General features: G+C 43.2%; 1 protein-coding gene and 1 long non-coding RNA gene across 19 annotated transcripts in view, besides 3 other annotated features; one reads left to right on the forward strand and one right to left on the reverse strand.

Moving 5' to 3' along the window:
• KIF16B (kinesin family member 16B) overlaps nucleotides 1-14,790 on the reverse strand; it is a 301,345-nt gene extending 286,555 nt beyond the window's left edge. For all 17 annotated transcript variants that reach the window (XM_047440266.1, XM_047440264.1, NM_001199865.2 and 14 more), the window contains exon 1: nucleotides 14,571-14,790. In XM_047440266.1, the coding sequence (XP_047296222.1) occupies nucleotides 14,571-14,617 (47 nt within the window). In that variant the 5' untranslated portion in view covers nucleotides 14,618-14,790. The remainder of the gene's footprint in view (nucleotides 1-14,570) is intronic.
• Nucleotides 14,547-15,068: an enhancer, noted in NCBI's record as "H3K27ac hESC enhancer chr20:16553850-16554371 (GRCh37/hg19 assembly coordinates)". NCBI's record gives its function as "activates a minimal SCP1, AML or CMV promoter by ChIP-STARR-seq in primed H9 embryonic stem cells {active_cell/tissue: H9 hESC(primed)}" and the evidence as "EXISTENCE:reporter gene assay evidence [ECO:0000049][PMID:30033119]".
• Nucleotides 14,681-14,910: a silencer, noted in NCBI's record as "fragment chr20:16553984-16554213 (GRCh37/hg19 assembly coordinates)". NCBI's record gives its function as "represses an EF-1alpha promoter that drives an FKBP-Casp9 reporter gene in an ReSE screen in K562 erythroleukemia cells {active_cell/tissue: K562}" and the evidence as "EXISTENCE:reporter gene assay evidence [ECO:0000049][PMID:32094911]".
• Nucleotides 14,697-14,826: a silencer, noted in NCBI's record as "silent region_12683". NCBI's record gives its function as "represses an Ori minimal core promoter by ATAC-STARR-seq in GM12878 lymphoblastoid cells {active_cell/tissue: GM12878}" and the evidence as "EXISTENCE:reporter gene assay evidence [ECO:0000049][PMID:35858748]".
• Nucleotides 16,645-20,701, forward strand: LOC124904875 (uncharacterized). Of its 2 annotated transcripts, none has more exons than XR_007067538.1 (2): nucleotides 16,645-17,446; nucleotides 20,221-20,701. It is a non-coding gene; the product is annotated as an uncharacterized LOC124904875 (long non-coding RNA). The 2 variants fall into 2 exon arrangements; XR_007067539.1 differs by having other exon boundaries at nucleotides 16,645-17,069.
• Nucleotides 20,702-22,130: the final 1,429 nt, after the last annotated feature.

The following is a 22,130-nucleotide window of genomic DNA, read 5'->3' on the forward strand; positions in this document are numbered from 1 at the left end:
TTGGGAGGCCAAGGCGGGAGGATTCACTTGAGGCCAGGAGTTCCAGACCAGCCTGGCCAACATGGCAAAACCCTGTTTCCATTAAAAATACAAAATTTAGCTGGGTGCGGTGGTAGGCGCCTGTAATCCCAGCTACTCTGGAGTCTGAAGCACAAGAATCGCCTGAACCTGAGAGGCAGAGGCTGCAGTGAGCCCAGATCATGTCACTGCACTCCAACCTAGGCAACAGAGCAAGACTCAAAAAAAAAAAAAAAAAAAAAAAACCAAGTGGGGGTAAATTTGTTATGGAAGCTAGCAAGTGCCCTCCACAGCCTATTATCTCCCTGATTGTGAAGATGAAAATATATTTATTTTTATTTATTTTCTCCTCTCTGCTCACGGTTTCTAATGTGGAATTATTCCAGGTCTGCCTGGTCCCTATAGGCATTGAGTTTGCAACCCTTGTACTATATATTTAACTAATTCTGCCTAAAACCAATACTTGCCACACCACTGAGACCTGTCTTCCTCCAACTCACTCTAAACTCCAACCCTTTCCATCCCACCAAGAATCAAAATGCCCCACGTCTCATTTGATAAGTGAAAGTAAACAATTAATCCAATCAAGGTGTTAACAGCCCAAATTGCCTATCCATAGTCCATCAAAGGATGCCAGGAGGCATAATTCCTCAATCTTTTGAATGGACAGAGGTATTCTGGAGGAAATGCCGTCTACTCTTACCCTAAATATGGTTATCAGCATAGGCAAAGTTGCCCCTAATACCAAAAAAAGTCTTAACTAAGAATGTTTCACACAGCTGGGTTTAACAAAAACAAAACAGCAACAACAACAACAAAGACTGTTTATGCCTGTAATCCCCACATGCTGGGAAGGCCAACACAGAAGGATCACTTGAGCCCAAGGATTCAAGACCAGCCTGGGCAACATAAGGAGACCCCATCTCTACAAAAAAAAAAATTTAAATTACTAATAGCTGGGTGTGGTGGTGCATGATTGTAGTCCCGGCTCCTCAGGAGGCTGAGGCAGGAGGTTCACTTGAGCCCAGCAGGCTGAGGCTACAGTGAGCTGTGATCATGCCACTATACTCCAGCCTGGGTGACAGAGCAAAAAAGACCTTGTCTCAAAAAAAAAATGCTTTACATGATAATAAAATGAATTTTGTTATCTTGGACTGGATCCTGGACCAGATAAAAGACATTGCTGGGGCAATCTGAGAAATCTGAATAAAGTCTATTCAGATTTGTATTCAAATAATGATACAACATTCAAATAATGTTGTATCAATATTACTTTCCGGTTTTGATAATTATAAGATAGTTATAGAAGAAAAGAACATTCAAAGAAGTTGGGTAAAAGGTACATGGGAACTCTGTATTATTTTTGCAAATTCTTATAAATACTTCAAAATAAAAAGTTAAAAATATTTTTAAAAAAAGAAAGAAAAGCACCTTAATTGAATCATCACATGTGAGCACCAGCCAAGGACCACTGATACCTTCTCACAAGGGCCCATCTACCTCGTCAAATGAAAACACCAACTTTAGGGAAAAGGATGAGAACAGACCAGATATTTTCGTAAAGCCTTATCTGGCAAATTGATTGAATTTGAGCTAGTCTCCATCACCTAGAATCATTTTTTCTTGACAGTTCCCTGGGGAACTTTTAAGTCCTGCTCTGAGGAAGTTCACACAGTGACTTAACTGTGTCCCAGGCAGAATCCCTGTGATGGCTTAGACTTTGTCAATAAGAATCAGCAGGTGCAGTGAGGTGAGACCACAGGCCCCTGGGGCAAAGGACACCAAGTTCCTGAGAGCAGGCATCCCATGGAGGGTTCAGAATCCTACACTCTTAAAAGTTTAAAATCTTGATCTGAGCAATGGCTCAAGCCTGTAATTCCAACACTTTGGGAGGCCAAGGCAGGCGGATCACCTGAGCTCAGGAGTTCAAGACCAACCTAGGCAACATGGTGAAACCCCTTGTCTAAAAGAAATACAAAAATCACTCAGCTACTTGGGGGGCTGAGGCTGAGGTGGGAGGATCGCTTGGGCCTGGGAGGTCAACGCTGCAGTGAGCCATTTTCGTGCCACTGCACTCAAGCCTGGGTGACAAAGTGAGATATTATCTCAAAAAAAAAGAAAAAAAGCTCTAACCAGCTAACAAGAGGAAACGGAATTGGCAGTCACTCTGACGGCATGATGTCTCAGTGTTGTCTCGAGTAACAAAATCAGATTTTACCAACTTCTTCTCTGGATAATAAATTCACTTCATCAGTGTTTTTTTCAAACTATGAATCATAAAATCATTTTAGTGAGTAACAATCATCTTTTTTTAAAAAAATATAATAGAGAGGCCGGGCGCAGTGGCTCATGCCTGTAATCCCTGCGCTTTGGGAGGCTGAGGTGGGTGGGTCACCTGAGGTCAGGAGTTCAAGACCAGCCTAGCCAACATGGTGAAACCCCGTCTCTACTAAAACTGCAAAAAAAAATTAGCTGGGCGTGGTGGCGGGTATCTGTAATGCCAGCTACTCAAGAGGCTGAGGCATAAGAATTGCTTGAACCCGGGAGGTGGAGGTTACAGTGGGCAGAGATGGAGCTGCTGCACTCCAGCCTGGGCCACAGAGCAAGACTCTGTCTCAAAAAAAAGTAGTAGAGAGTAGAAAATATCAGCATGCATTGAGCAGATGAATGTCTTACTGTGGATCTTGTTTGAAGCACATAGTTCTATACAATCATCATCAGCCTTCCAAAACATAAGCGCCCTTCATTTCAAATAATATGACAAATCCTTTCTCACTAAGTCAGTGGGAAAAAAAAAGTTTTAAATAGTTCTTATATTCACAATAACTTTTATTAGAAAATCTGAGGTGTGTTGCCATGAGGGGAAAATTCTTTTGCAAACTGAAGTCAAAAATTTTAAGTATCTCCCCCAAGATATTTATTAATTACAAACAGGAAAAAAAAAATAAAACATTACAGTGGAGAAACCCTGCAGATACCACCTTAACCACGTAATCAAGGTCAACATCACCAGTAGTAAGACATATTGACATCACATACCCCAGTAACATATGAAGGACACAAAATCACTTTTGTGGTATTATTGTCAAAAATTGCTTAACTTCAACGTATTTGTGATAAAACATCAGAGAAAGCCACACTGAGAACCATTCTAAAAAATAACTGACCAGTACTCTTCAAAAATTAAGGTTATGAAAAACAAGGAAAGACTTACAAACTGTCACGTACCAGAGAAGACTCAGGAGACATGCTACATTTAGATGCAATGTGGGATCCCGGATTGGATGCTGAACCAGAAGGAAGACATTAGTGGGAAAACTGGTGAAATCTAGATAAAATTTAGTTAATTTCTTCGTTTTGATCATTGTGCTGTGGTTACATAAGGCATAATATTACGGGAAGTTCGGTGAAGAGTTTATATATGGGAACTCTCTACTATTTTGCAACTTTACTATAAATCTACAATTATTTCAAAATAAAAATTTTTTAAAATATCTTTTCTGAAGAAAGAAACAAGAGTATTCTGCCCTATAAACTGTGTATCATTTAAACACAGTAAAGTGTTGTACCATAGTGCTGTACCTCCAACTCTCTAACCTTAAGGGATAAACATAATGTGCATTGGTGTGTAATATGAAGTAATCTTAATCTTCATTGGGAGTGTAATATTAAGTAAACTTAATACACGGGAAAGAGCTGAAGCTGTCCTTGTTTACCCAGGCTCTTGCTCAGCCCTCCGTCACCCCTCACGTCTTCCTAATACCCAATAGGAGGATTGTCAAGATGCTCTTTTCCTCCTCACGGAGAACAATGTGAGACATGCAACAAACGCCGTGACTACGGATCCCAATCCCTCACGAGCAACCACAGAAAGTAAGAGGCATGTGTGGAGGGTGAGTGGAGATACTTATAAATGTAACAAATACTTTCTGAGTGCTCAGGTCTTCCCGGCACAGTTCCAGGCCCCGGGGAAACAGCCATGAACAAGATCTACACGGTGACTGGCTCTCAGAGAGTTTAAGAGATAATAAGCAAACAAAAATATATTCACACATACACACACGTATACATTCATAAAATGGGGAATGTTAGCAAGCCAGAAAACCAGAGTGAGGTAATAAAGCCTTCTCTGAAGACGGGCATATGAGACAGAACCTGATCCTTCTTTGAGACTCAGTTTCCCATCTATAAGACGGATCTAATGATGTTCACCCCTGTAGAACTGTTGTGAAGAAGTGAATTAGATAGTACAGCGCAGGATTTAGCAGAATTCCTAGCAAGTGAATGAGTGGCCAGAAATAGTAATGAGTGACCAAATTACTGATCAACAATTACATTGAAAGCATTAACTTTCTCAATTTACTTTAAATTCTACATATCCCACTGAAATGTACTTAAAGTGTCTATAAATAAATGACTGATCACAGAAACAGCTATTTCCTATCTCATGGACAGCAACAATGAAAAATGAATACATTTGGAAATGGACAGAGCAAAAAACACAAATGCTCCGCCCAGGGATAATAGGAGTGACCGAAGGCAAGCTTCCTGGCCCCACTGGTGGTTACCTCCTTTGTGCTTGGATGAATGTGCGGGCTAAGTCCAAGCCAGTGCTGACCAACCTCCCTGGAAGGATTTTTTCCCCTGTCTTTTTATAACCTGAACGTGAGGAAAGGCAGTCAAAGCCACCAAAATAAATCTCTCAGTCCTCAGGAAGGAGCTAAAACACTATTACTTCTTTTCCCAGGCTACAGGTCTAAGTATAATTAACATATTCTCTTTCACAAAACAAGCTTCAGTAAGATGGCATCCCAATTCCAGAATCTGCAAAAACAGCCAAAGCTATCAAAATAACTTAGAAAAACAGTCAAGAAACAAGGAAGTATCACATCAATCAACTTTAGACCAAACTGCTATATATCACACAACTGGACATTTCTAAATAACTTCTCTCTCTCTGACAGGCAAAAAGAAACACATACACACTCGATCTCTGCCACTCCACTCTCTCCCACTCCACTCTCATGCTCACACAGTTTCCATGTTTAAAATAAAGCAACAGAAGTTTAAAACCAAATTATGTGACCCAAGTCACTCAAGAGCACCTTTTAAACTACTAATACACCTTGTATAAGTGTATTTTGCACACAAAGATATTTTAAAATATTGTATAAGGAAAAATACCAGACATTTGCATCATATTACTTATAAAGTTCACCTAAAAGAAAGAAAAAACTTCCATGCGCTCCCAACTCAAGGTGTCAGCAACAGCAGCAACTCTCCCCTCCTTTCTCTTTCCAGCCAGCAGCCCCTTCCCTCCCTTGCTCCTCCAGCCTTCTTTCACCAACCCCAAACTCCCTGTTTTCTTTTTCTCTTCTTCAAAACAAAAAGAGACAAACAAAAAAATCTGTCTTCTGCTGAGCCTGGGTTTGTCATGTCCAGGTAAGGGCTGGGATCCAGGGATGCAGACCAGGCCATGCCTCAAACATGGAGTAAAAAAGTTTCAAAAGATTACAGGAGTCCTTGCGGTAATTTGCTGAGAATGATGGTTTCCAGCTTCACCCATGTCCCTACAAAGGACAGGAACTCAACCTTTTTTATGGCTGCATAGTATTCCATGGTGTATATGTGCCACATTTTCTTAATCCAGTCTATCACTGTTGGACATTTGGCTTGGTTCCAAGTCTTTGCTATTGTGAATAGTGCCGCAATAAACATACGTGTGCATCGCAAGGACAAAAAACCAAACACCGCATGTTCTCACTCATAGGTGGGAATTGAACAATGAGAACACTTGGACACAGGAAGGGGAACATCACACACCGGGGCCTGTTGTGAGGTGGGGGGAGAGGGGAGGGATAGCATTAGGAGATATACCTAATGTTAAATGACGAGTTAATGGGTGCAGCACACCAACATGGCACATGTATACCATATGTAACTAACCTGCACGTTGTGCACATGTACCCTAAAACTTAAAGTATAATAAAAAAAAAAAAACTGAAAGAAAAAAAAGATTACAGGAGTCAACCTCTGCTTAGATGAACGGAAATGAGGCTCCCTCCTTCCTTTCATCTCTCCATTAACTGGAAGGGCAGCAACAGGCTACCTCCAATGCCCTCACAGCCCAATCACACTGCACAAGCCTCCCACAACCATGGCACTGCCTCCCACCCCTCCACAGACTTGAGCCCGACCACCTGACTGTGCAGCCTCTCACACTGGCGACCTTCCCTCCTCCCAAGCCTTGAGCCCCCTGGTCAGGCGTGACATTCTACTCTCCTGCCTTCCTCCCTTCCTCTCTCCATGCCCCTTCTCTCTCCAACTTGATCCTCCACTCCTACCTCCTGAAATCTGGCTGTCAGTAACCATAGTGAGTATAAAAGATAATAGTAACTATGATTTAGTGGACAGTTATTATATATTTATTTATTTCATCTGATCTCAACTACTTATACAGCATTATTTTATGGAAGTGGTTCTCAAATGTTGTGGCCTCAGGACGCTTTTATAGGCTTAAAAAATTACTGAGGAGGCTCAAGAGCTTTTATTAACATCAATTATATCTACTGATAGTTACCATGTTAGAAATTAAAACTGTGAAAATTTTAAACAAAATGCACAGCCCATAGAGCCGTGACATCATCACACACCATGTAGTTTCTGGAAAATTTGACTGTACCTTCATGAGAGAATGAAAAAATGGAATATAACATCTTAGTAGTACTGTGAAAACAGTTCTGACGTTGTGAACCCCCTATAAAAGAGTCTCACTGATACCCAGTTGTCCCTGGACCACACTTGGAGAATCACTGTTTTACAAAACAGAACCTGAGCCTTAAAGAGGAAAATCAACTTGCCCAGTCACTCGGCTAGCCCACTGAAGAGCTCCAGCCTGAACCCGGCTCATGCAGCACTGCTGTTACCCTTTCTCTTTCTGCTTTACCCTTCCTGAGAGACAGAATTCACTTCCACCACAGCAACTATCACCTTCCAGTGACCCATCTGCAAATGCGCATCCGCAGAGCTGATAACTCACCTGAGTTTCTACTGCCCGGAGTTCCCACCAGCACCCCGAAACAAATCAACAGACCAACACGCCCTTCTACCCACCCCAACCCGCGTAGGGCCAGCATCACTGCCTTTGGGAAAGGTCATTCTTCCACTTAATAAGGCCCCAAGCCACTCAGAGTCATCTTTGACTCCCCACTTCTCTATGTCCTGCTGACTGGTCTTTAGAATGTCTCTTGCAACTGCAAAAAGCAGGATATAGAAGTGTGTACATGACGACGTTCCTACACAAACAGGAAAAAGACTAGGTGCAAACGCACCAAAAGTTTATGAGTAGTTAGCTCCAGATCGTGGGATTATGAGCAATTTGCGATTTGATTTCTTCGGTATATTTTTCTGCATAACACATACGTTTCATAAGCATACATTATTTTCATAATCAGAAAATACAGTGATTGCTTCTTCAGGGCTTTGTTTATAAGTTTTGTCCCTTGCCTCTGCCTTTTCCAATTATAACCATGCCCAGAATCCAATCGCCATGGGTCATATTTCAGTTCTCTTTACTGTCTTCCTGCACTGGTTGTCAGCACTCAGACAGACATCTTGAACCTCAGTCTTGCGTCACGGAGTGGTGGCAGGAAAGTCAGGGAGATAATAATGCATAAAAGGCACTTTGCACAGCCCTTGGCAAATGGTAAATAAAAGTTCACCATTACTGGTGCTAGTATTATTATTTCCCTACACTACTATTAGATGAAACTTCAGAAAACACTAATTGGCGAAAGACAGCCCTGTTTTAGAACCATCAGTAGCTCACAATGCCTAATAATATACCTGATATTTACAGAACGCTTACTTTTGGGCCCAGCACTGTACGAAATGCTACCTCATTAAATTACCATTCCAGCCCCACGAGGTGGGTCCTATGGAGATCTCCATTTTACAGATGAAGAAACTGAGGCACAGACATGTTCAATAAAGTGCCAAGGTATGGAGGTAGAAAGTAAAAGAGCTGGAATTCAAGCCTTTATTCAGACTTGCTGCACAAGAGAATTTTCCAGGATGGTGGATATATTTATATCTACATTATTGAATATGTGTCTGTTGAGCATTTGAAATGTGCCTAATGCAATTAACTAAAATCCTTTTTTTATTTTATTTTATGTTAACTTAAATAGTCACATAGGTGGCCGACAGTTATACTGGCCAGCATAGGGATCTAGAGATCAAAAACCCAAATGCCCAGGCTTCACAAAGAAAAGTCCTCACAACACCCTGTCTACCTGCCTTGCAACTAATTCTTACAAAATCTTCAATTTGTCTAAAATCATTAGTGAAATAAACATGTTCCTACCTTCCAACCACCCCCTGCCCACCTCTCAACTAAGTCTTCTGTATAATGAAAGGACTTTAGGAAGTTAGAGTAGGGGAGACTTGGATTCAAATCCAGCATCATAGTATCTAGCTATGTGACCTTGGGCGGTCTTATTTCTTATTTCTGAATAAGAGACCTCCTTATTACAGTCTCTGAGCCCTTGTTCCTCATCTGTAGAATGGGCTGACAATGCCAACTTCCAAAGAGTATCAGCCAAGCACCTAACAGAAATTATCTATATGGTCGCTGGCAATATCCCTTCAGGGCTCAACTCAAGTTCCACCCTCTTATCTAAAGAGATGGCAGAAGCACTGGAGATCTCTTCCTCTAGCCTCTAGAATCCCCTAGAGGTTCCATCTCAACCGTACACAGATTCTATTGTTATTTTTGTGTGTTGTGTATTCTCTGATCGGCATTTCCCTGAGGCCATGGGCTTCTGTCATCTGTAAGCCCAGAGGCAACGTCACTACATAAAGGGCTCTGAAGGGAACCGAAGCAGCTGGCTCAACCCAGCATTATTATCTGAGGGGTCTCAGTCTCCCCTGGCTTTTATAGGTCAGTCAATTGGTGAGAGGAGGAAATGCAATTGCCAAGGTAAAGAAATAAGCATAGGGCTGGCAGCTCACGCCTGTAATACCAGCACTTGGGGAGGCTGAGGCGGGCGGATCATGAGGTCGGGAGATCAAGACCATCCTGGCTAACACAGTGAAACCCTGTCTCTACTAAAAATACAAACAAAATTAGCCGGGCGTGGTGGCGGGCGCCTGTAGTCCCAGCTACTCGGGAGGCTGAGGCAGGAGAATGGCATGAACCCGGGAGGCGGAGCTTGCAGTGAACCGAGATCGCGCCACTGCACTCCAGCCTGGGCAACAGAGCGAGACTTCGTCTCAAAAAAAAGAAATAAGTGTAGTACCTGGTACCTGGCAGTGCCTTGACAGATACTTCCCGTCCTTAATACAAGACATGTCTGTCCTCATCATCACAGACCTAAGAGGCTAACCATGAACTACTTTCCCTTTGACCTATCTTCTTTTTAAAAGAGGAAGACGTCAGTACACCCTAAAGATATCAAATCCAGGCAAAATGCCACTGGTGGTTTTTTTTCTTCTTTTTCTCTCCTGAACTTGATAGACTTGATACTAGATTCTACCTGAGAGGCTAATCAGGAAGAAAGGCTAGGAACAGTCAGAAAAGAGAAAGAATGGGGTGGATTTGCCCTATCAGATAAGCAAGCACATTATACAACATAGCTATAAAGCTGGCACATCACCAGCACTCAGTAAATATTTTTTGGCATTTTTTAAATACTTGTTTTTGAATAAAGTTACAATTATTAAACTGTAAAAATAATAGTAATGACAACAAGCACTCTTCAGGGAGCCCCTGCTGAATGCCAGGCTCTGTGTGGAGAGCTTTATCCACATGCGTTATCTCACTTGAACCCACAACAGTGTTTTTCACACCCAACTGCAGCTCTTTCGTGGATCACACCTGTAATCCCAGCATTCTGGGAGGCCAAGGTGGGAGGATCACTTGAGCCCAGGAGTTTGAGACCAGCCTGGGCGACACAGGGAGACCCCGTCTCTACAAATAATTTTAAAAATTAGCCAAGTGTGGTGGTGTGCACCAATAGTCCCAGCTACTCAGGAGCCTGAGGCAGGGAGATCACCTGAGCCCACCAGGAGGTTGAGGCTTCAGTGAGCCACGACTCTGCGCCACTGCACTCTAGCCTAGACAACAGGGTAAGACCCTGTCTCAAAAAAAAAAAAAAAAAAAAAAAAAAAAAAAAAGGCATAGCTGTGACTGTCTTAAGAAACTGACTTTGACTTTGAGCAAGTTAACTATGTGCTATGATCTGAATGTTTGTCTCCCCCTAAAATTCAAATATTGAAACCTAACCCCTCACTGAGATAGTATTAAGAGGTAGGGCCTTTGGGAGGTGATTAGGTCATGAGGTCCTTGTGAATGGGATTAGTACCCTTATAAAACAGGCCCAAGGGAGTCTGTTTGCTCCTGCCACGTGAGTACACAGCAAGAACCTACCATGTATGAGGACCTGGCTCTCAGAAGACAGCCAGACAGCCTATCTGCTGGCACCTTGATCTTGGATATCCCAAGCTTCAGAACTACGAGAAGTAAATGCTTGTTGTTTATAAGCCACCCAGTTTACAGTATTTTGTTAGAGCAGTCCAAACACACTAAGAAACTCTGTCTCCCAATCTGTAAAATGGCATAACAATAATGTCTCTACCTGCCAAGATGGCTGCAAAGATTAAACTGGATTTTGTACCTGGAGCTAGGACCAGAGAGTCTGGCACAGAGTCAAGTCTCAATAAAGGTGGCTACCATTTTGCCTACGTAACAGAATCACTTCCGCATTTGAAATGAGTATTACTGCCACATAATTGAAAGCCATAAGGCAATAAAAATAAACTCATCACATCTTGGCCTGAATCAAGCACTCATATTCCTTACAAGGCTGACTGATTACTGCAAAGGCCCCTAGTTTAGAAACTCAGTCAAACTCAATACTCCACCACCAGCAGTCCTTACTTTCCAATAACTCTGGGACTTGTTTTTCTGTAGGTTGCTTTCCCTTTGCCTGAGGCTCCACTACTCTAAAAATAAACATTAAAAACATTAACAACTTCCTTCAATCCTCCTCACAACCAACTGAAACTTCTCCAGTGCCAATGAATTTTGTAGGTGACTTTTTAAAATTACCTAAATAAGCACTGCTGGGTTAATAATTAATTCTAAGTATTAATTATAAAACTACGCATGAGGAAAGTAAAAACAAACAGTAAAAAAAAAGCCTTTCATCTTTGCCTAATGGATTCATCATCAGTCCTCCTCTTTAGAGGTATCAGTGTTAGGTTTCTTACAAACCATTACATATAGATGAATCTGTGTGTGTGTGTGTGTGTGTGTGTACATTTGTTAGCACACACAAACACACAACTTTACTCCACTGTGGATATCTTGCTTTTCTCAATCCTCTACCTTGGAACTCTTTTAAGATCAACACCCTCTTTTTAAGACTTGCATAATAATCCACCAAATGATTTACGCTATAACTTAACAAATTTCCCAATTTTGTATATTAAGGTCACTTATGATTTTTTGTTATCAATGATGATGCAAAAATCATCATCTTTACACATATATCTTTGTAGGCAGCAATATAATCCATATAATAAAAATTAGAAATTAGAAAAAGTAGAAATGAAATGGTCAAATCAAAAAGTTTATAGATTTCCAATTTTTTAAGGGAAGCATTTTCTGCTTAAGTATACAGATTTCTAATCTTGACAGCTACTGTCAAATTTCCCAATATGAAAGTTTCAGATGTTTTGATCCCTTATGCTTCCGTGATCAATGCAGAGGCGTCTGTTTCATCACTCCTGTACCAGCAATTGGTGCTCAGTTAATATTTATCAATCTCACTGGTAAAAAAATGGCATTTTATCACTATTATAGTATGCATGTCTTTCCTTATAAATTAGGTCAAGTATATTCAGTTGCCAATTTATATATCTCTTTCTACTCACTGCCAACTTCTGAATCATTGACTCTCCTTAAAAGTACTGTTGGGAAGGTTATCAACTAGCCTTGTCTTCAAGACCAAGGACACCATCTTATTCTCATCATCCTGGCAATATTTGACACTAACCCCCACCACCTCCTTCAGGATGCTCTTCTCCCTTTCCTGCCATGACCATTTGCTGTGCTGGTTCTCCTTTACGGACTGCAAGCCAATCTTCTCCCTGAAATCCTAAAGAGGGGCATATCCCAATGTCCAATCCCTGGCTCCCTTTTCTTCTCACGTAACATCCTTAAATTGTGGTTTATGTGCAAAAGATTTCCAAATGTCGATCCTCAAATCACCTGAGACCTAAACCCACATTTTCAGCTTTCTGCTGAACATCTCTAGCAGAGGGATGGATGTCCTTCCCACACTTCAGATAATGAACAAGGTCAACATGCGTGAAACACTTGCTCTGTGCTTGTACTTGACACTTAATACATCTCATGTAACTCTCCACATCCAAGAGAGAACATACCAACTTCATTGTCCACCTTCCTCAAACCTGTTCACCTCCTTCAGCATCAAACCTCAGTTAATGACTCTACACTCGCATTCTTCCCCCTTCTTCCCATCCAGTGAGCTGCCAAATCCTGCCAATTCTGCCAGTGAGTGGTCTTCCTGTAACTATCCTGCCTTCCAATTTCATCTCTGGCTCAAACTGCTAATCACCTGCCTCTTACCTCAATCTTGACACCACCAGAGTTCTCTACTGAGAATATAAATAACATCACGCGAATCTGCCTCCCCAAAGCCCATGGCCTCTGGACTTATTTCCTGCCATCCCTCCATGTACCTGGGCTCCAGGCCTACACTGGCAAGGCACTGAACTCACAGTTCCTGTCCCAGCAGGCCCAATACTTCACAAGATTCATGCCAGTACATAATCCCTCTCTCACCATGGCTCACCAGGTCTCATTCCCCTTGTATCCCAGACAGCACCCTGAGGAATGCTATGTGTTTGGTAGGTGCTTAACAAATACTTTTTTTTTTTTTTTTGAGAGGGAGTCTCGCTCTGTCACTGATGCTGGAGTGCAGAGGCACGGTGTCGGCTCACTGCCAGCTCTGCCTCCTGGGTTCACACCATTCTCCTGCCTCAACCTCACGAGTAGCTGGGACTACAGGCGTCCACCACCACGCCCGGCTAATTTTTTGTAGTTTTAGTAGAGAAGGGGTTTCACCGTGTTAGCCAGGATGGTCTCCATCTCTTGACCTTGTGATCCGCCCGCCTCGGCCTCCCAAAGTGGCTCCCAGGCATGAGCCACCGCGCCCAGCCTAACAAATACTTTCTAAAGTTACACAATACAATTTTCTAGCATGTGTTCACCTTTTTCCAAAAAAGAAAAAGAACTTCTATACACATGAAAATCCATAATAAAGAAAAATCGTTCTAAAGTTTATCTTCTATGATGGAATGTACACAGAAACAAAAATATTCCCTTAGAGCAAAAAAGTCAAACTCTTACTCTAAACAGCTTTAGAAATAACTCAAAAGTCACAAAAAGCAGATTCTGAAAACACTGGGTTTTAATGATTACAAACCAAAATAATGATTCCCTACTTGCCAAGAGAAGAAACAGATTTAGATGAGTCAAATAAGGTTCTGGAAATCTTTTGATTTTATGGCCTTCGGCTGCCCCAATCAGGCATCAGAACTACCAAACATTAACCTCCACAAGTTGATATGACAAAAGCAAAAAGGCCCTATGGTAAGTCAAATATCCACCAACTTGGTAGAGAAGTCAATAAAATCAAATGGCTCTGTGTGAACCTTGCCTGTCACCTTGGAGGACACATCCCATTTCTACCTCATTCTTTGAAGTCAAACCAATTTAAAAAGTAACTTTTCCAAAGAAACTTTCTAAACGGATTAAAAAGAGGTCATTGAAAAGGGAGCACAGGCTATTTTTCAGTGAATGAAGAGAAGGATTCTGAAAAAGCATTACTTCGTAGAAATATATAACAAGATTAAATTTTGTGTGTAACACTCTTCCTCTCTCTTAATATCAGAGTATTTCAAACACGTGTAAAGCGTCCCTGACTTTTTTCTAGGAGTCAGGACTTTGTCAAAGTTTTCCCATCCACTCTCTAACATGAAGTTAGGAACTGCTAAGTTATCGATTAGACATTCAGGGAATCAAAATCATCTCTAACTGAAAGATTAAAAAGTAGCATGGTTAATTGTTAAGAGAACTTCTGAGTTGGTAGAAATGAGGGGTTCACCTGACAGTTCGTGGTGCCCCCCCTCAGCACTCTCACCTTCCCCCCAACTATTTTACATCTTCATGGTAACGTTCCCTTGATGCTTTTTTAAAGGGGGAACAAGAACATCTCAAGTTAATACGATGGAGAGAGTTAATAGAATCTTCTCCTTTACCACCAGGGTCCTCTCCAGGGCAATGTGAACGGGACAGCAGTGCACGAAGTCCTCCAGGCCCCCAGAGGCCACAGCCTGGGCCCGGTGGGCCAGGGACCAGCCGGTGACACTTTTAAGTCCAGGCTGGCTTTGGGGGAGCTGGAAACAGGCTTCCTCTGGGTGGGGGCGCGACGAGGGGGCGGGGCGCGGGCGGCCCCACTCACCTGCGATTCATGGGCCGGACCCTCACGGCCACCTTGACCGATGCCATCGCTCATCCCGAACCAGCCCGCGCGGGGTCCCACTAGCCCAGAACTCCGCGGTCGCCGGCGACGCTGGCTACTCAGATCGCGGCTCCCGCCCACTTCCCTCTCGCCCCCGCCCCTCTGCTCCCGGCCGGACCTGGAGTTCCGCGGCAGCCCCACCTGCCAGGCCACTGAGCATGCCCAGAACGGCTCCGGCCCGCGTGATCCATGCGCCACGGTTTGGCGGCGGCCGGGCGGTGCAGAGGGGCGGGGCCGCGGGGCCTGGAAGCAGCCTCCGGGATCTGCAAGTCTGGAAAGGCCACGTTGTGGACCTTGGCGCAGAGGTTATGGGGGCGACCCGGAGCGGATGGTTTCAGGAAAACTAGAACCCACCCTCATGGCCTGAACAACTGGAGAGAAGAGGATCGCAGCAATTTAAAGCCAGCGGCAAGGATCACAGTCCTGGGGTCAGGTGACCAAAGCCAGTTTTTCAGCCCTTAACAAGAACCTGGCTTCACCCAGCCAAACATGAGTTAACGTATCCATTTTACACACGAACAAACTGAGGCGCAGAGATGATCACAGCTTGTTGGTGGCAAACTCCGCTAGGGCCTTCTCTGCTACCCTAAGGAGGTCCGACCGTATGTTTTGGACCCCTTAACTCGGGATACCGATAAACGAAAATTAATAGGGTGTTGGATGTTTTAAATGTGTGCGGGAATGTCATTATATTGGCTAGAATCAAACCTTATTTAGACTTGTTTTGCACTTTTGTACACTTTAGTAATTTTTAGTTTTAATCATAAGGGAGTTAAAGGCGAACACAACTGGTATTTTTTTTTTTTTTTTTTTTTTTTTGAGACAGGGTCTCGCTCGGTCACCCAGGCTGGAGTGTAATGCTGCGATCTCGGCTCACTGCAACGTCCGCCTCCCGGGTTCAAGAGATTCTCCTGCCTCAGCCTCCCGAATAGCTGGGCGTGCCACCACGCCCGGCTGATTTTTGTATTTTTAGTAGAGACGGGGTTTCACCATGTTGGCCAGGTTGGTCTCGAACTCCTGACCTCAAATGATCCGCCCGCCTTGGCCTCCCAGAATGCTGGGATTACAGGCGTGAGCCACCGCGCCAGGCCGACAACTGGTATCTTAAGGCTTAGGGCCTCTGGTAGAAGTGAGCTCCACCTCCCTTCCTGTGTAGAAGGTAAATGCATTCATTCATTCAGTGAATCGAGCATGCATGAAATCGTTTGCGCACACCCAGAAGCCCACCTGCGAGCCACAGGAGCAGCCATTCCAGGAAGCCAAGCTATAATGGGAGACGCAAGGAATGGAGGCGGAACTCCTGTTTTTAAGTCCTAGCTCCAACACTAGCCTTGTCAGCCTGTAATTCTGAATTACTGGGCGCCTCTGAGGCTTCTTGTCTCATCTGCAAATCAGGAACAACGGCATAGAGTGGTGAATGCATCAAGTGGGATGATGTCTGCAAGTACGCAACCCGCTTACACAAAGAATTATCTTTCCATAACCTTCCCTGGACCCCTAGGGCCAGCAGGGAATCATAGCCTCCCTTTGTTTCTAGAGCCCGGAAATCACTGGGTTTTCCCTCTGTCTGGAGCAGAGCTGGGTGCGAATTTGACCAACGGGTGGCAGGAACAGCCGGAGCAGGATATTAAGGAGCGGGCGAGCTTGCCAAGCATGCGCAGTAGCGGCGGGTTGGTTTGAGAAGCCGCCAGGGAGCCAGCGCGGCGACCTAGCTGGCTGGGGCAGGGGAGGGGCCCGCCTTATATGGGAGCTGCGTGGGGACAAACTGTTCGGGCCCAACGCGCGGGTCTGAGAGACAGCCACGCCTGCTCCGGGTCACTCCGGCCACCTGGGGGGCGTCGGCGCGCAGACTCTGGCCAGTTCAGTATTCAAACTCTTCAGGAGTGCTAACTTACTCATGACAGCGATTTTCTGTATCGGGGTTTCATTGGTCGGTGGTTTAGAAGGTTTTGCTCATTCATTCGTTAATGTAATTCCAACAACCTACACGTGTTTATAAGCCCCCTTTCCATCCACGACTTTGCTGTCTGACACAAAACGGACCATCGCAGCCCGGCAGACGCTTTAGACAACAAACAGCATGCCTGGAGCTTTTCAATAGGAAGCAGTAAGGCTTGATCATCACAGACGATACGGAACGGGCACTTTCTTAGCAGAAAATATTTCTATTGGGGCGTGAAGGAAGTTTCTGAAAGGGAAGATTATTATAAGATAAGGGGTTTGCTCATCTCAGACTTTAGTGTGCCTGCTTTAAAGTGTTTTGCAAACTTGAATGTTTAAAGGAATCACCTGGCGGTCTTGTGAAACTGCAGCTTCTAATGGGCAAGTCAGAGGGGAAGCCTGAGACATGGCATTTCCAGCACGTTCGGGGAGTGAAGATGCTGTCGGCTGCCACCCTCCCTGCAAGGAGCCAGGGGATAGATGACCTCTACGCAAACTGTGAGAGCTTAAAATAACTGATAGTGAAAAACAGTTACAGAAGCTCTAGGCCGGGCACGGTGGCTAATGCCTGTAATCCCAGCACTTTGGGAGGCCGAGGAGGATGGATTGCCAGAACTCAGGAGTTTGAGACCAGCCTGGGCAACACGGTAAAACCCTGTCTCTACGACAAAATAAAACAAACAAAAATAAAAGCCACGCATGGTGGCGTGTGCTTGTAGTCCCAGCTACTCAGGAGGCTCAGGTGGGACAATCGCTTGAGCATGGAAGGAGGAGGTTGCAGTGAGCCAAGATCGCACCACTGTACTCCAACCTGAGTGACAGAGTGAGACCCAATCTCAAAAAAAAAAAAAAGCAGTAAATCCAGGGCCCAAAAGGTCAGTAAGAATTCAGGGATCCAAATCAGTTATGTACTGATGCATAAAAATAATGGCCAAAAATGTGGAGGCTTAAAACAAAAACCGGTTATTATTTCTCTCAATTCTTTGGGTTGCTGGTGTCACCCGGGCTTTGTGGCTGGGCTCTAGGCTCACCTGGGGTGAGGAAAAGTTGGTGCATTTTGCTTTTTCATCCTCAAAAAGTTTAGACCAGGTTCCAGATTTCTTGCGGCGGCGAGACACCTCGCCAGGAGAGCACCGCACTATGCACAAGCCTTTGCTGGACTTCCATTGACCAAAGGCAGTCACATGGTCACGCCCAGGCAATGTGGGAGGGCCCCGCAAAGGAGGGGTGGGTACTCAAGAGAGCCACTAAATAACAAACCTACCTTAAGATCACATTTATTTCTAACATTTTAATAGTTATAGTTCAGTATAATTGATTTTCCTGGTAATCCCATTTATTTTATTTTATGCATTTTAAAATGTTATTCTGAAAATGTTACTCTCACCAAACAACCAAAAGGGTCCACGGCATAAAAAAGGTTTAAGAATCTATGATTTTAAAATTCAATTGGATGGATAAAAGACATTTTTATTTTTATTGTGTATATATACATATATATGTGTGTATATATATATATATATATATATATATATATATTTTTTTTTTTTTTTTTTTTTTTTTTTTTTTTTGAGACAGAGTTTTGCTCTTGTTGCCCAGGCTGGAGTGCAGTGGCGCGATCTCGGCTCACTGCAACCTCCACCTTCCGGTTTCAAGCGATTCTCCTGCCTCAGCCTCCTGAGTAGCTGGGATTACAGGTGCCCACCACCAAGCCCGGCTAATTTTTGTATTTTTAGTAGAGATGGGGGGTTTCACCATGTTGGACAGGCTGATCTCGAACTCCTGACCTCGTGATCCACCCACCTCTGCCTCCCAAGGTGCTGGGATTACAGGCGTGAGCCACCAAGCCCGGCCGACATTTTTATTTTCTAAGAAGGTTGAATTGTGATGGGAAGGAGAAGAGAAAATTCTGAAATCTGGGTTAAAACCCAAATGGTCTCAAGATGCATATGTGCATGGCGGGACTGTGGGGTGGGGGATGTGGTTGTTTAGTTTGTTTTGATGTAGTTTATTTTGGTCTTCATTTATTATTGAAATTTTTTTCTGATGTTTAGCAATCTCTTTTTTAAAACGTTTTTTCAAATCTTTTTTTAATCTCTATTTTGAAAACTTTTTTAATGGACGAAAACTTTTGAGTGACTTAAGCTCTCTGAGTCTTAGCTTCTTCATTTCCACGCAAAATAGCACTGTAATAGAATGTTCACTCCACCGCAAAATATTTGAATCATCAGGGAATACTGTTATCAGAAGAAAAATACTGTATTTCTCATGAGCTGTGCTTTTTCTTCATCCTAGCCTCTGAGGAATAAAATTGATTTACTTTCTTACAAACATGACTTTTAAAAAATCTTGATGAACATCAGACTGGCACGCTTAAATTGGGACGAAGGATATAACTGACACCTCATAAACCCATCGATTTCCCTATGTGCTAGAAGCACTCACCAGAAGCATTATATCACATGATACACTTAGTGTCTCCTACAGGAGTGCCTTACACCAAGGGACTTAAGTTGAATTTAAGAGCTATGTGGTGAGCCAATGAGAAAAACAAGTGTTTTCCTGGTTTTCAAATAAATGTATAATAAATAGTAGTACCAGAGACAGGAATCACAGATACCAAGTCCAAACCCAGCACCAATTTTTTTTTTTTTTTTTTTTTTTTTGATACAGAGTCTTGTTCTGTCCCCCACGCTGGAGTCCAGTGGCGCTATTTTGGCTCACTGCAACCTCCACCTCCCGGGTTCAAGTGATTCTCCTGCCTCAGCCTCCCAAGCTGCTGAGATTACAGGTGCCTGCCACCACACCTGGCTAATTTTTGTATTTTTAATAGAGACAGGATTTCACCATGTTGGCCAGGCTGGTCTCAAACTCCTGGCCTGAAGTGATTCACCTGCTTTGGCCTCCCAAAGTGCTGGGGTTACAGGTGTGAGCCACTGCGTCTGGCCTACGATTTTCATTTTCTAAGTCACAAAATTTAAAGTATATTTAGAATCTTCTAAAATACTAAACATTAAAAGCAGGAATAATTTGAAAAAGTATACTTTGGGGCTAGAGAGAAAATCTGAGCTCCAAAATCACAGTAAAGATAATTGCAAAAATCGTACTAAGTAATTTTAGTAAAGCTTTAGGCAGGTAACCATGAATGCCTGCTTTCTTTTATAGCAAAAGTGAATAAAGAAATCACATTAGATTCAATTTAATAGACGCTATCACCCTAAATCATAGTCATTTTATATACTAAGATAAAAATGATTGTTTTCAATTGCATATAACTGTATGCAACCATATATATAAAACTATGTGGTCATAAATAGTTCAGAACTGATAGACTGTAGAGTCTGTGGCCTCATTTTAACTTCGAAAGAGTGAGAAACCATGTTTATTTAAAGTGATTGGGAAAAGTTTCATGGATGAATTAGTTTTGGAGATCGGTCTTGCAGGAGGGACAGATTTGAACCCAGAAAATGGTGAGGAGGTGACTTCTAAAGCAGAGGAAATTCCTTGAACAAATGTTTAGTGTTGGAAAAGCGAGTCCTGCTTCTGGAATAGTGAGAAAGCCTCTTTACCTGAAGCACAGTGTAAAGTTTAAAAATAGTTGTAAATGCTTCTCTTCCCTGGACTCATACCTTGCGATGTCATTTTGCAGCTCCCCTCAATGGGAAGTAGAATCTCTTTCTCCACCTCTTCAATATGGCTGGCCCTGGAACTTCCCTTGGCACACAGAATGCAGCAGAATTGGCTTCATGTTGTTTCTAAGCCTTGGCCTCAGAGGCCTTGCATGCTTCCTAACCCTGGCTCTAGGAAACTTGCTGCTGTCATGTAAGCAAGCCCAGGCTAACCTACTGAATGTTGGTGTGTCCCAGTCAAATCCAGCACTGCAACCAATAGCCAGGCAGCCACCAGACATGTGAGTGGGGCCACCTCACACCAGCCAACCTCCACCAAGTCATCAGATGTATGAGTGAGAACAGCCCAGAACAACTGAGCCCGTCCAGACCAGCGGAACAACCAAGCTGACCAGTAGACTTAGGAGCAGTAAACAGATGATTGTTATGGAAGCCATTCTGTTTAGGGTGTGTGTGTTATTGCTTGCATCCAAATACATCCTATCTCATCTAATGAGAAAAGGCCCTGCTCAAGGGCTTTTGCAGCTGTAGTTGGGCGCCGGAAGTGTCTTTGTGGTCATTTCTTACTCCATACACGGGGAGATCAAGGCTCAGACCAGGTAGTGTGACTGTGGACAACACTTTCCTTACCCCTCTGTGACACTTAAATCAATGAAGCAGATTCACAGAAGCATGCATGCTCACTGAACACAGTATTTGCATTCCTACCTCCAAACCTTTGCTCCACCCATGCATCCAGTAAGAATGCCTACTTCCCTCCTCTCCTCCATCGAGTTCTTTCTTTGAGTTCTACCTTCCCTAGTCTTCCTCCACTGCACCAACCCACGGTGATCCCTGTCTCTTCCAAATGCTTTGTAACATGGTAGGCATCACTCACTTGTGACTCATTGGACCATTTTAAAACTTGGTTTTCTGTGTCTCTTTTCCAACAAAATTACAAATTCTTTGAGGGTAAAAGTCAGGCCTAATAGTTCTCTGTACTCCTAGTAGTGCCAGTGTGGTAAAAATTTAACTTGACAATTAGCAAAACCAATAAATTCCTTACACTATTCTGTTCCTGTAGGTAATCAGTATATGAATATGGATTCCTATGTGATGATTTTCTGGTCTATTTTGTCCCTTTTTTTTTTTTGTTACTTTAACCAGGCCATAACATAAAGGTTATGCCATTTGTTACTGTCAAGCTTAATTAAGCCCATTATAATTCGTTAACCCCTGTGCTTGCTTTGTAATTAACATTGATTAACACAAACAAGTACAAAATAGGCCATCAGCACTTTCCAGAAGTGCTGATTACAATTACATTGGTAATTCAATACGGTATAGAAGATGGCAGGATAGTAACTTGCACTCTGTTTACATAAGGAGACAAATGCTACCATGCAAAACTAAGCCAAGAAACAAAATACTTTCCTCATCCAACTCACTGATTAAACCCTTACCCTGTTAACTCACCCTATGACTGTGTAAACCTCCAGTAAGATTATTGAAGGCACAGCTCCAAGTAACTTGCTTAATTGCATTCCTGGGACAAAAGAGGGAAGCGCTTCAAAGCTGACAGACAGATGGTAGAGTGTCCAGTCACAGCAAAGCAGGCCCCGAGGCTCATGACAGACAACTCCAGGGCTGAGATCTCATTTGTAGCTCTGGGATAAAGTCCAGGGTTTGATGGCAGCAGGCTGAAGTGTAAAGATGCTCAACAATGCGCACCCCAGAGACACTGAATCTGAAAAAGCTTAGAGTGAATAAAAATCTGGAAATGAACTCTGTCTGTCTATTCACCATTCCCCCCATAAAAAAATTCCTATATTCCGGATGGTGTTCAAGTTCCCTTTCCACAGGACCTCAGCAGTCAGGGAGGTGCTCCTGCAATCTATGTGAAGGAGATTTCACCATGCCCACATGGGAATACAGTAGATTGCCAGTAGGG

Source organism: Homo sapiens, chromosome 20 (assembly GCF_000001405.40).
Source record: "Homo sapiens chromosome 20, GRCh38.p14 Primary Assembly".
In the NCBI taxonomy this organism is placed as follows: domain Eukaryota; kingdom Metazoa; phylum Chordata; class Mammalia; order Primates; family Hominidae; genus Homo; species Homo sapiens.